Source organism: Homo sapiens, chromosome 1 (assembly GCF_000001405.40).
Source record: "Homo sapiens chromosome 1, GRCh38.p14 Primary Assembly".
Taxonomy (NCBI): domain Eukaryota; kingdom Metazoa; phylum Chordata; class Mammalia; order Primates; family Hominidae; genus Homo; species Homo sapiens.
Genome location: NC_000001.11, coordinates 232,322,683 through 232,336,436, shown reverse-complemented (window position 1 = coordinate 232,336,436; position 13,754 = coordinate 232,322,683). Strand labels below are relative to the sequence as shown.

The window sequence follows — 13,754 nt, the reverse complement described above, 5'->3', positions numbered from 1 at the left end:
TCTCAGTATGCACCCTTGTTGAACAAAGGGTTCCCCTCTTTAAAGTCCTGCACACAAAAATAACTCTGGCCACCATGAGTACCCTTTTGGGAGTTTATAATCAAATACAGCACTTCTAATTAGTTCTAGTGTGGTCTAATTGATCCCACTGACCCAAATGTCTTGTTAAATATTATTGCCAAATAAAAAAGCACAAATTGCCACCGCCTACTCATCTAGGGACATCATAATGTTAGCTCAGTCCCTCCACTGGCTCAGAGGACTTGGAGAAGCTATGTGCTCTTATCACACTTGAGATGCAATAGAAGCGAAGTGCAGGCTTTTCTCTGGTCTCTAAGCAGGCTGCTTGCCTTCTCTGTGGTTCTGGTTTCAGTCCCTCTGCCTTGTGGGTAGAGTTGTCAATCACTGACCACCCCCAGGCCTGCTGGGGAGAAGGGGCCTCCCACAGCATCTGCTGAACAGTTGGCCGAGGCAGCCATGTCTCAGGACCCCTCCCTTCTTCCAATGCTGGCTTGGCCGGGGCTTTGCCCCTGACTGGGTGCCAATACTGTGGCACAGTGACATGCAGAGGCAGCCTCTTGGAAATGTGAGTAAGACACACCCAGCAAAGGAGGAGAGGGAGCTTGTCAGCTGTGGGAGCAAAAGCTGAGAATTTTGAAATGGACAGAGAACAGGAAAGCCCAGGGAGAATGGTACACCAGGCAGTCATGGGGCCTGCAACCATCCAGGAGCAGAAAGAGCCTGTCTGGTGACAGAGCCGCAGGAGAGCTTATTCATGAAAGCCCAGTGCCCCCAGAGAGGAGGAAACCAGAAAAGGAATGATTTGGGGCCTAGCCCCCTTTTGACCTTCTGGTAAACCCCTTTGTCAATAGGTAAGCGGAAATGATTTCTCTGAGAAGTCTCCACAAGAAAGGAGACAGCGCCTCTTCCTGCTCTACCACATCTGATGTCCTCACCCCAACAACGTTCAACAGGGGAGCTTCATAACCCCACCTGACAAGGAGGGGCTGGCCCTCAGGGAGGTTAGGTGTCTCGCCCATAGCTACAGTGGCGATGCCAGCACCCCGGTTTTACTGAACCACACTGCCTCTGTGACATCACCAAACTTCCTCCATTTCAGCCTCCCAACTTTAGGCCATCCCTCTCTCCACGCAAAGAGACAGACCAGGAAGGACTGACAAGACTACCAGCAATGTCCTCAGGCCAGGGCGGCCACACGAGAAAAGACTTGCCCTCCTTCTATCCTTTGGGCTTAGGTGGGCAGAGCAGGGCAGGGTTCCTGCTGCCCTTTTGCCAGGCAAGTCAAGCACGTTACAGGTGAAGCGCTCCTCCCCACTGAGCTTGGCTCAAAGTCAAACGGAAACACTCATCCTTCTTTACAGCTCATGCTCAAAGGCCCCGAGGCCCAAAAACACGTGGCTCATCCTTCCCAAGGTGGGTGGATTTCAGAGAAGCCAGCACCAAGCCCGGGGCAAATGTGTGTGTGTGGCTCTGGCGGGGAGGATTGGGATGGAGAAGGTGGAGTCAGAGCTTCAGGCCAGAGGGCAGGGCGGCTCAGCCACTGTGGGACAGGCAGGCGAAGACCGGAGGAGGAAGGGGAGGGCAGGGGAAGGGGGAGACATGAGGGAGAAAAAGAGAAGAAGGAGGGAAGGAGAGAAGAAGAAGGAGAGCCAGAAGATGAGGGAGGGGAAGGGAGGAAGATGGTAGAGAAGGGTAAGGGGAGGACAGAAGAAGGAGGGGGAGGGGAAAGGGATGGGAGAGCATGATGGGGAGAAAGAGGAGAAGGGAAGAGGGAGAGAAGAAAAGGGGGAGGGGAGGGGCAAAAGGGAGGAGGAAGGAGGAGGAAGGAGAAGAGACACTGAGGAAAGGTAGGAAAAGGGAGGAAGATGTGAGCCAAGTCACAATGGACATTGGGCAGTGGCATACCTTGGGGAGAACACATTTGGAACTGCCTGGCCTCTGTCATGATGTCATTACTCCTCATCTTGTCACTTTTAATTCTCTTAGGAGGAAACACACACTCTGTTAGGAACGCACACCAACTCTCCAAGGGAAAGTGACGGATGGGCCAGGGAGACCTCAGTTTAAGGGCTCAGTGGGAAACAGACCATTCTTGTCTCCAATCCCTCCATGGTCTTTCTGCTTTGGCTGGGTAAGGCAGGATCTTTGCTAGGCGTGTCTGTCAGTGATTAGGTCTTGAAAAGCTTATAGTCTTTTCTTTCACCTTGACCTACAAAGCATGAATCGAGATAAATCTAACATTTCCTCCCTTTTCACCACTCTCCCATTTTTTCCATCTTAACAAACCGGAGGAGGATTGTGGTTCTTTTCCAGAACAGCTTAATGCCACACCAACCCTGCACATTTAAATGTGTAACGCTTCCTCTATCATTTGCATCTTAATGTTCCAAACCAACAATCATGAAGCCTTGTGTGAAAAAATAAAGAAGGATTTAGAGAAATTTGGGCTAATTCTAAACCTTGATGAATTATACCTAACTATAGAAGCTTCGTGATGAGACTTTAAAAAAAAAAAAAACACTGAAATCAATTTACCGCTGAAAAAGGTGCCAGATGGGAATTAAACCAAATACTGGCATTTTCTTTAGCCACAGTTTAGAAATTACAGACAAAAAAGAAAAGAAAAGAAAAGTCGGCCTCATCTATTTCCCTGTGTCTCATCTCCATAGCTGGATGCTTCATGCTCCTTTTGTGAACATCACTCAAGTCAATTCCTTCATCCACTCACTGAGCACCTGCTGTGCGTGAGGCAGGTTCAGGGTCCCCTGGAGAGCTGGGGACATGTGTACCACATCCAGTCCTTGGTGCTGACTCTGCAGTCAAGGGCACTGCCTGCCACCGTAAAGTTGTCCCAGGTGCTGGCACCACGCTCGGTCAGCACTGCCTTGTCTAACTGGCACCTCCGCACTCCCTGGGAACTGCAGCTGCTCTGCAGGGGCTGAAGTTTGCTGGACTCCCCTGTCTCTGTCAGGCCCCTTTGGCTCCCACACTTGAGCCCCTGCATACAGACAGCAACACGAAGAGGAGAAAGATGTGCTCCCTAGGATCACTGTGGACTGCCATGCACTGTGGGCACTGGAGGACTCTGGGGAGTTCACGGCGAAAGCAGGGAGAATGCCACGCTCCCCTTTGTGCCACTCTCAGCAAGGTTAGTCCTGAAGGTGCTACTTGTGCCTTAGTAGAGTTTTCTGTGGGGGTGGGGAGGCATAGAGAGGACAGCACTTTCCAGCACTTTTTGTTATTAACTCTCCAGCTCTCAGACCCTGGGCCAGGGATGAAATCCAAGTAGCCATTCCTTGTTCTCAGAATTCTTTTTTTTTTTTTTTTTTTAATTGATCATTCTTGGGTGTTTCTCGCAGAGGGGGATTTGGCAGGGTCACAGGACAATAGTGGAGGGAAGGTCAGCAGATAAACAAGTGAACAAAGGACCTCTGGTTTTCCTAGGCAGAGGACCCTGCGGCCTTCCACAGTGTTTATGTCCCTGGGTACTTGAGATTAGGGAGTGGCGATGACTCTTAACGAGCATGCTGCCTTCAAGTATCTGTTTAACAAAGCACATCTTGCACCGCCCTTAATCCATTCAACCCTGAGTGGATACAGCACATGTTTCAGAGAGCACAGGGTTGGGGGTAAGGTCACAGATCAACAGGATCCCAAGGCAGAAGAATTTTTCTTAGTACAGAACAAAATGAAAAGTCTCCCATGTCTACCTCTTTCTACACAGACACGGCAACCATCCGATTTCTCAATCTTTTCCCCACCTTTCCCCCCTTTCTATTCCACAAAACCGCCATTGTCATCATAGCCCGTTCTCAATGAGCTGTTGGGTACACCTCCCGGACGGGGCGGCTGGCCGGGCAGAGGGGCTCCTCACTTCCCAGTAGGGGCGGCCGGGCAGAGGCGCCCCTCACCTCCTGAACGGGGCGGCTGACCCCCCGACCTCCCTCCTGGACGGGGCGGCTGGCCGGGCAGAGGGGCTCCTCACTTCCCAGTAGGGGCGGCCGGGCAGAGGTGCCTCTCACCTCCCGGACGGGGGGCTGATCCCCCCACCTCCCTCCCGGACGGGGCGGCTGGCCGGGCGGGGGGCTGACCCCCCCACCTCCCTCCCGGACGGGGCGGCTGGCCGGGCGGGGGGCTGACCCCCCCACCTCCCTCCCGGACGGGGCGGCTGGCCGGGCAGAGGGGCTCCTCACTTCCCAGTAGGGGCGGCCGGGCAGAGGTGCCTCTCACCTCCCGGACGGGGCGGCTGGCCGGGCGGGGGGCTGATCCCCCCACCTCCCTCCCGGACGGGGCGGCTGGCCGGGTGGGGGGCTGACCCCCCCGCCTCCCTCCCAGACGAGGTGGCTGCCGGGCAGAGACGCTCCTCACTTCCCAGACGGGGTGGCTGCTGGGTGGAGGGGCTCCTCACTTCTCAGACCAGGCGGCTGCCAGGCAGAGACGCTCCTCACATCCCGGACGGGGCAGCAGGGCAGAGGCGCTCCCCACATCTCAGACGATGGGCGGCCAGGCAGAGACGCTCCTCACTTCCTAGATGGGATGGCGGCCGGGAAGAGGCTCTCCTCACTTCCTAGATGGGATGGTGGCCGGGCAGAGACGCTCCTCACTTCCTAGATGGGATGGCGGCCGGGCAGAGACGCTCCTCACTTTCCAGACTGGGCAGCCAGGCAGAGGCGCTCCTCACATCCCAGACAGGGTGGCGGGGCAGAGGTGCTCCCCACATCTCAGACGATGGGCGGCCGGGCAGAGACGCTCCTCACTTCCTAGATGGGATGGCGGCCGGGAAGAGGCGCTCCTCGCTTCCTAGATGGGATGGCGGCCAGGCAGAGACGCTCGTCACTTCCCTGACTGGGCAGCCAGGCAGAGGGGCTCCTCACATTCCAGACGATGGGCGGCCAGGCAGAGACGCTCCTCACTTCCCAGACGGGGTGGCGGCCGGGCAGAGGCTGCAATCTCGGCACTTTGGGAGGCCAAGGCAGGCGGCTGGGAGGTGGAGGTTGTAGCGAGCCGAGATCACGCCACTGCACTCCAGCCTGGGCGCCATTGAGCACTGAGTGAACGAGACTCCGTCTGCAATCCCGGCACCTCGGGAGGCCGAGGCTGGCGGATCACTCGCAGTTAGGAGCTGGAGACCGGCCAGGCCAACACAGCGAAACCCCGTCTCCACCAAAAAAATACGAAAACAATTCTTCTTCCCTCCTTGAAGTAAAGGTTCCTTACGGAGTCAAGCTCATTGAGTCTGAGTCTCCCCTTAAAATAAGCTTTATTTTCTGAAGGTCCTCAGTCCCAGATAGATAGACAACTGACAACTCTGTCCCACTGCACAATTCAGCAATTTCAAGGTTTGCCTAGTGAGGAGAACATATTTGAGTCCCCAACCCCCAGCCCTGAATGTTGATATGGTCTGTGGGTCCTACATCGGACCTACATAGGGGGTGTGGCTCCTCAGTGGAGAGTCACAAGTGATCCATCAGCACATTAAGATCACTGCGGGCCGGGCGCGGTGTCGCACACCTGTAATCACAGCACTTTGGGAGGCCGAGGTGGGCGGATCATGAGGTCAGGAGATCAAGACCATCCTGGCTAACATGGTGAAACCCCATCTCTACTAAAAATACAAAAAATTAGCCGGGCATGGTGGCGGGCACCTGTAGTCTCAGCTACTCAGGAGGTTGAGGCAGGAGAATCACTTGAACCTGGGAGGCGGAGGTTGCAGTGAGCCAAGATGGTGCCACTGTATTCCGTCTCAAAAAAAAAAAAAAAAAAAATCACTGCGGATCCATCCGGATCAACCTCTCCTCCAAACACGGGAAACAGGTCTCTGTCCTTCAACCTTGTATTTGATGACTGATTTTTTTTTTTTTTTTTGAACTGCTTTGAAACCAGATCCTGGACATATCTATGTCCATGGCCACCTGGCAGTACGCTTGTTTCAATTTTCACATGAATGAATGGAAGCACAGACATGTTAAATAATGCAGGCAAGCTCCACGACAGGCAAACTGGTGGCAGACACCCAGGCGGGACAAATCCCCGTTACTTGCTATTGTCTGTCCTCCAAGCTAAGTTGCTAGATTGAGCAAAAAGAAAAACAATACAGCACACCCAGTTAAACTGGAATTTCAGGTAAATAACGGTTAGTTTTGGTATAAGTGTGTCCCAAATATTGCATAGGATATACTTAAGGTGACACTAAAAATTGTTGTTTTTCTGAAATTCCGGTTTAACAGGGCATCCTGTGTCACCCGTGGCGACCCTATCGCCCAAGGGCAAGTCTCATCCTGCCCTCTCTTAATAAAATGAGTTTTACTTTTGCACATGACGAATCCAGTGTAATTTAGAGAAGTAATACTGACCTTTATAACTGGAGAAAGATAATCCACATAGTTTTTATACTGACATGCTACATCTTCTCTTTGACTCTTTTTTACTTCTGAATGTATGTTTTGGTCTCTTTCCTGCCCTTCCCCCACCCAAATCTCTCCTAGGCTTAGCAAGAGATTAACTTGATTCTTCCCCACCCAGATGTATTATTGCTAAATTGTCCTCCCCGTTTCTCTGTATTCCATGAGATGAAACATTAACTTTCGCAAGAACTAATCTTCATTGTCAGAAAGAAGCAAAATCGACATATCCAGCTCTTTAAGTCAGAGTGTTATTCAGCGCATGAAGCTGTGGCTTGGGAACAGTGGATTATTCTTCTGGCCAAGCACCCCTAGACCCAGATGTGCCAATGAGAGCCTGCTATGGACTGGAACACAGAGACTAGCAATGCAGGCTAAAGTGATGGGATTAGGGAGACACCACACCCGGCATAAGCTATTAATAACTAGGCATACGCCCTGGAATGAAAAAGCACCCATACAAAGCTGAGCTAAGCGTAGCTCACTCCTTCAGCACGTCTCTCAGTGGCCAAATGGGAGCTGGATGCTTATCTAGAAACAGGAGTGTCCCAGCAAGTTACAGTCCAAATGTCTTTTCACATGTACCTGCTTCCACTCCCTAAGTGGCACATCCCACCGATGCACAGAAGCCAGAAGGTTGTCTCTGCAGTTTCTTGTCATTGAAGTAGTCGAAGTAGTAGGGCCACCAGAAAACTGGACAATCAAGTTACACAACGTATCTTTCTCACCTGGGATTCCCTGGGAGAATTAAGCCCCGATGCCCTCAGGTATCTAGTGTATTAATGTCTCTCCTAGGTCTCTAGAGTAGCACTAGCCATGGAGTATTCTAGGAATACTGAAAAAACATAACCACTCAAATAATTTTCTGTAGGAGCTTAATTCTCTGCCAGAACCCCTGGCAGGTGGAGAAAGGCTGAGAGAGGCTGCTAGGACCTCTGCCATGGTTACTGAGGTCTTGCCTGTTTCTACCCAGCACCTATGATGGCCCTGAGCTCCCAGAAAAATGGCAGGTGAATGGCAGCTGACAAATTCCTCAAGAGCAGGCAGAGGTAGTCAATGCCACAGAGAGACTTCACTTGGGCTATTCTTCAACCTGTGTCCAGGCTTAAACCACGCAATCACTTCCTCTTTTAGTATCTAGTGCTATCTGAAATTATCTCAGCCTTTGCCACAAATAGCCACAGACAGCCCCCTTTAAAAATGGCATCCTAGGATTTGCAGGCCAGCCGATGCTGAAGAAATCTCAGAGCTCTTTGCATATCTCTCCCAAGCTAGACACATCTTAGGCCTAATAAGGTTAATAGCCTTATGTCTATTTGTGACCACAGGAATGAAAAGAAGGTCATGTCCCTCGAGATCAGGGAAGAGAGCATTTCCCAGGCCTTTGGTGCGGAGTCTGTGAGGCTTGCTAATCTGGGCTCCAGCTTGGTCTCACAGTCTGGAGATAACTGTCTGCATTAGACTGGCTCAGCTGAGTCTCATTTGGTACCTTATGACTTAAAAAAAAACAAAGCCAAACCCTCCTGTGATCTCTGGCTATGAATCTGCAGAAGTGGAGTATAATAAAGAGAAAAGAGGTGAGAAAAGACCCTCGTGTTTGTCCCACTTACTGAGGTCAGGGTTCAGGCCATCCCCCTTCCATTACCTATCGGAGATCCCCATGGACTTCATGGTGATGTTTAGGTTGGGTTGAAAATTACTAACAAAACTCTTCTGCGAGTGGCCCAAGCTTAGCAGTGAGACATGCACATCTTAAAGGAGCTGCAGGTACTTGCCTAGAGAACGTGTGAGACCCAGCCCTGGGTCTTGCCTGTTAAAGCTGTAGGCAGAGCAGGCAGCCCCCTCACTGCCTAGGAGTGGGCTCTCCGATGTGTCTGCAATATATATTTACAACATGTTTCTAGGCTGTGGAGCAATCAGCTCTGACCTGATTAGAGGCCCCTGGTGCACACTTCTGCAGGTCATTGTAATTCCACTGAGCCCCAGAGATGGGCTCTGTTGGTAGCACCTGCGCTAGATTGTTTCTGAAGGTTATAGGGCCACAACGTCTTAACAATGTGTACAACTCCAGACAGCAGGTGTGACTGGAGCAGCTAATCACAAGCACTGTGATTTTTAAAAAATGTATACTGAGGTTCCCGGAAACTCACCAGGAGCGATGAGTCTGGGCACGCTGAATGGGGTCGGTCATGGCCGGCACTAGAGCTGTGCATTGAGCAGATGTTTGGGGAACAATAAGGAGGGAGGAGGTGGGTGGGAGAAGCACACTTGTGTTTTATTTTCTTTCTTGATGATAAATTTGTACACTTATATTGTCCAAAAAACTCCCAAATAGAACTATGACTTATTTTTCACAATTGACAGAGTCAAGTTCATCTTTCTGACAGTTGAAAGTGTTTTCTCTTTGGAAATTGGAGAAGGCCAGTGCCCAGGGGAATGTATGCCTGGCAGTCTAACTGGAAGCATGGAGCATAATTGGGTGGGGAAAGCCTCTCTCCCCAGAAGCAAAGCCAGCTTTGAGTGATGAATGGGGTGGGGGCCTTTTGTGGCCAGGCAGACTCCATTATTCCAGAAAGCTGGGAAGACTGCCCTCCCCCAGCCAAATATTTCCCTTAGTATTTATTTGGTGGAGACTGCAATTTCATCATTAATAATGCATTCCTGTGTGCTAGCCATCATCCCCTGTTCAGGGGGATCCTCTGTAACATGCACATCCTTCTGGGAGGCATACATTTCTGCACTGACAGTGAACAGTTCTGTCTGAATTACCATCTTCAGGTTCTTTTTTTTTAGAGAGCATTTTGAGAATAAAACTAGAGGCCCGGTGCGGTAGCTCACGCCTGTAATCCCAGCACTTTGGGAGGCCGAGACGGGTGGATCACAAGGTCGGGAGATCGAGACCGTCCTGGTTAACATGGTGAAACCCCATCTCTACTAAAAATATAAAAATTTAGCTGGGCGTGGTGGTGGGCGCCTGTAGTCCCAGCTACTTGGGAGGCTGAGGTAGGAGAATGGTGTGAAACCGGGAGGCGGAGTGTGCAGTGAGCCGAGACAGAGCCACTGCACTCCAGCCTGGGCGACAGAGCGAGACTCCATTTCAAAAAAAAAAAAAGAGAGAGAGAGAGAATAAAAGTAGAAAAATGAGGATTGCTACAGATATTCTTTAACCTCATCACCCAGTGTGTGAGTCTGGTAGGTCATGCTGCCTTGTTGCCTTAGTTAACTACCCCTTCTTTGTTTGTGCTATATGTGCATATCCATGCACATGCTCAAACATACATGTTAACATGTTTACGTGCATTCTTGTCTTGTGAGCAAACGTATTAGGTAGAAAAAAAGGGGGATAATGGCGTTTTATGGTAATGTCCATTTTATAGTGATTTCTAGGATACCTTCTGCTGTGAGTTGCATTGTGTCTTCCAATAAATATATGTTGGACTTCTCACCCCGGGTATCTCAGAAAGTGACCTTATTTGAAGATAGGGTCATTGCAGATGTAATTAGTTAAGATAAGGTCATGCTGCAGTAGGGTGGGCCCCTAATCCAATATGACTAATGTTCTTATAAAAAGGAGGCATTTGAAAACAGAGACTCACGCACAGAACACTGTGTGTGAACATTAACCCAGCCATCTACAAGTCAAGGAGAGAGGCCTGGAACAGACCCTTTCCTCACAGCCCTCAGAAGGAGCCAACTCTATCAACACCTTGATCTTGGACTTCTGGCCTCCAGAGCTGCGAGACAATAAGTTTCTGTAGTGTAAGCCACCCAGTTGGTGGTACTTTGTTATGGGAAATCCTCCAAGCCTTAAATAGCTCCATGGCTTCCACAGAACAGAGTTTTTCTATGAAAGCTAAGCAATGCTGAAATTTAGTTTAAAATTTCCAAAAGGAATATTGCTAAAAAGGTTTTTAAAAAGTAAAGAAATAAAGAAAATGTAAGCAAATAACACTTGTTACAGAGGACAGGTGCTTTATAGTAGAAAGATGACTGGCCTTAGAGGTGGAAGACATAGGTTTGAGTCTTAGTTCTGCCTCTTACTGCTGAGGTGACTTTGTAAAAGCCACTTGGAGTTTCTTCTCTTTTTCTTCCTTTCTCCTTCCTCCTCCTCTTCTTCTTCTTCTTCTTTTTTTTTTTTTTTTATCTTATAAACAATCAAAATTTACTTCTTACAACTGTGGAGGCTGGAAAGTTGAAGATCAAGGCACCAGCAGATTAAGTGCCTGGCAAGGGTCTTCTTTCTCATAGATAGTGTCTTCTCACTGTGTCCTCTCATGGTAGAAGGGCCACCTGGAGTTTCTAAACTTTATTTTTTAAAATTTTGTAAAATATTTTGTAAACCATTTCAACAGCCAGACTTATAAAATGTAAAGGTCTTAAATGTATAATAAAATTGTCATGTATTAAGTAAATGCAAGGTGTTATTGCCGTCATCTTACCACAACTGAAGGTGAGAGTTTGGCTTGAGTGCTCAGGACTTTCACGTTCTCTTCCTGTCCATCACTGACGTGAATGGCTGAATAAGCTCCTCAGTCCCCTTGAGTCAGGTGGCTTCACACTGGGTGTTCTAGATTCTCTGTTTTTTCTAGAATTCTAGCTCCAAGTCTCAAGATGGCTTAGGTTATTTTCAAGAAAGAAGAAATTCATTTGACCCTGGCTCTGTAGAGTGCAGCTTACGGGGGACTCTTCTTTCTCCAAATACTATCTGGTAAGCTTATTCCAGAGTTATTGTTTTGCAAAAATGTAATTATTTCAAGGCTACACTTTGAAATCCCATGAACAGAGAGTAGAAATAAAATGCATATGGTAAGAGGAGGATTTTTTTTCTTTGAGGCTGTATGTATGAGGAAGGGTATGACCCAGTGAAATACGACAGTTATTTGCTCTGTCTTTATTCCTTCCAGTAAACAAATGGCTTTAGGTCCTCACACCCCTAAAGAGCAGCCTTTCATGGGTAACTAGGAGGAGGGAAGATGAATTGAAATTGCAACAGAAAAACTTACCCTACTAGACAAGTCACATACAAGAGGAGGTGTCCCAAGAGGACATGAGGAATATAGTCTCTGAGCAGCTGCTTGCCTTTCTGAATTTTGTTCTGTCCTGCACAAAATTCACTTGAATGTGTCTTCTCCGACATCTGATTAGCTTGGTACCTAAGTGCCTTCCCCAACTAAGAGTCCACTTAGCAGTGCAATTGAATGGCCAGGAAATGAAAAAGAAATATGTCATGCAGAGGCTCATAATTTGTCTCTCTTCTACCTCCAGGCACAGAGCTCTTGAATCTTAAGGCTGTCAGAGGCCTTAAAGATCCTCTGTGGCACTCTTAGTAGAGGAAGAAATACCCTTGACATCTTTGCTTATAATTTCCTAGTTTCTCCTTAGACTCCTGTGTATGGGAGACACTGCTTTATGAACCGTGTTCAATATTTAGGATGCTTTTTCTTGTTTTGTTGAAAAGTTTGTATTCATATGGAAAATAAATCTGCTCCTAGTTTTGTTCTTTAGAGCCATAAGAATAAGAAAAATCCCAACTTGTTCTGGGCAGCTCTTTACATACTGGAACATTACTTTTATGTCCATCTCAAGTATTTCTCTTCTCCATACAAAACATCTCTTGTATTTTCTATTATTCTCTCGTCAAGATTAGGAGTGTTTCTCACCACCCTAAGCAGTATTCTGCACACATTTAGGGCATTTAGGAGGGACATTTTCCAACAAGCTTCTTAAAGTCCTCTACCCAGAGTTGAATATTGTGCTTCTGATATGGACAGAACAGAGGGGAGAACAGAATATGGTGAGCATGTGACATCCTGATATTTACAGGACAATTAATTCTGGACACTGGATCTTCATAAGCTCAGTTGCCCTTGGGAACCTGGTGCTTCTTTTCTTCCATCCCTGTCTCTGGGTGGCCAATGAGCCCCACATTGGCATCAGTGCAGGCAGGAACCTCACTGAGTTTTCCCTTGGGAAGAGTATTAACTATGGTCTCACACTGATCTTCTTGCCCACTCTAACCTAATGGTTACCCCCACAAACATACTGGACATTTCTTCCAAATCTAAGTGCATTGTATCAGTGTTGACCTGTCCAAAGAGATGGATTTTCTAGATGAGACTGGGATTTTGGAATGGGACAGGATGCATGAACATTAGCCTTGCTGCCCACTGACTCGACGATAATCTAGACCTACATGATCTTCCAGCCTCTGGAAGCAAAGGCTTGGTTTACCCTTAGCCAGAACCTTTTGCTGAGAGCTTTTCACCAACATGCTGCAGAAATAAGAGGGAGAGTTCCCACTTGTCCCAGCCATAAAGAAGACAGCTCCAAATGGCCACCCAGAGATGGGGATGGAAGAAAAGAAGCACCAGGTTCCCAAGGGCAACTGAGGTTATGAAGATCCAGTGTCCAGAATTAATTGTACTGTAAATATCAAGATGTCACACGCTCACCATCATCAGGAAGCTTGAATGAACTCATTGCATTTTTTGAAGTGTCTCTTTCTCTCTGTTCCTTAGACCTTTCTCAATCTCCATTCAACAAAGATCTGATGAAGTATTTCAGTATTTATGAAAAATAGGCTTCCTTTGGGGAGGATACAATTCAGCAGCGAATCTAACCAGCTGTACTACTAATTATATGTTTACTTGGTACACATCACTGCATTTTGCAGGGACAGTTTACTCACCTATACCATAAAATAAGTAATAATTTTTTAGCTTTCTTCTAGTTCTTATATCCTATGCATATACTCAAGCCGCAAGGTTTGAATTTCTGAAGGCCAAACTCACAAAGACCTTGAAAGTCTCTCTCCCATGGTAGCTGCTTCAATGTAGGGAGGGATCTGTTCTCTGCCCAGTTTTCCCTGTCACCAGCCTTAGCAATTTTAACTGGAGAAGGTTTTTTATTTTTTTGAGACGGAGTCTTGCTCTGTCGCCCAGGCTGGAGTGCAATGGCACGATCTTGGCTCACTGCAACCTCCACCTCCCAGGTTCAAGTGATTCTCCTGCCTCAGCCTCCCTAGCAGCTGGGATTACAGAGAAGTTAGTAACACAGCACGACCTTCCACATCCTCAGTGTTAAGGTTAGGTCCTGCTGGTCATGTTGGCCTACTGATGGTCCCTAGTCACTTTTGGGATTTGCTGTGGAGTCAGGATATGAAATTCTGCCTTAGGTATTTATTGTTCTTACTCTTTCAATACATACAGACCATAAACAGGCCTATCATGTGAGTGGAAATGTATGTATGCTTTCTCTTCTGAATGTGGCCAGGTTTTTCACAGAGGTGACTGAAAGTTACAACATGACCATTCTGCGTTAGTTCTCAGGTGA

The 13,754-nt window shown here is 48.2% G+C and overlaps 1 annotated feature.

Moving 5' to 3' along the window:
- Positions 3,273 to 4,253: an enhancer, noted in NCBI's record as "NANOG-H3K27ac hESC enhancer chr1:232467930-232468910 (GRCh37/hg19 assembly coordinates)". NCBI's record gives its function as "activates a minimal SCP1, AML or CMV promoter by ChIP-STARR-seq in primed H9 embryonic stem cells {active_cell/tissue: H9 hESC(primed)}" and the evidence as "EXISTENCE:reporter gene assay evidence [ECO:0000049][PMID:30033119]".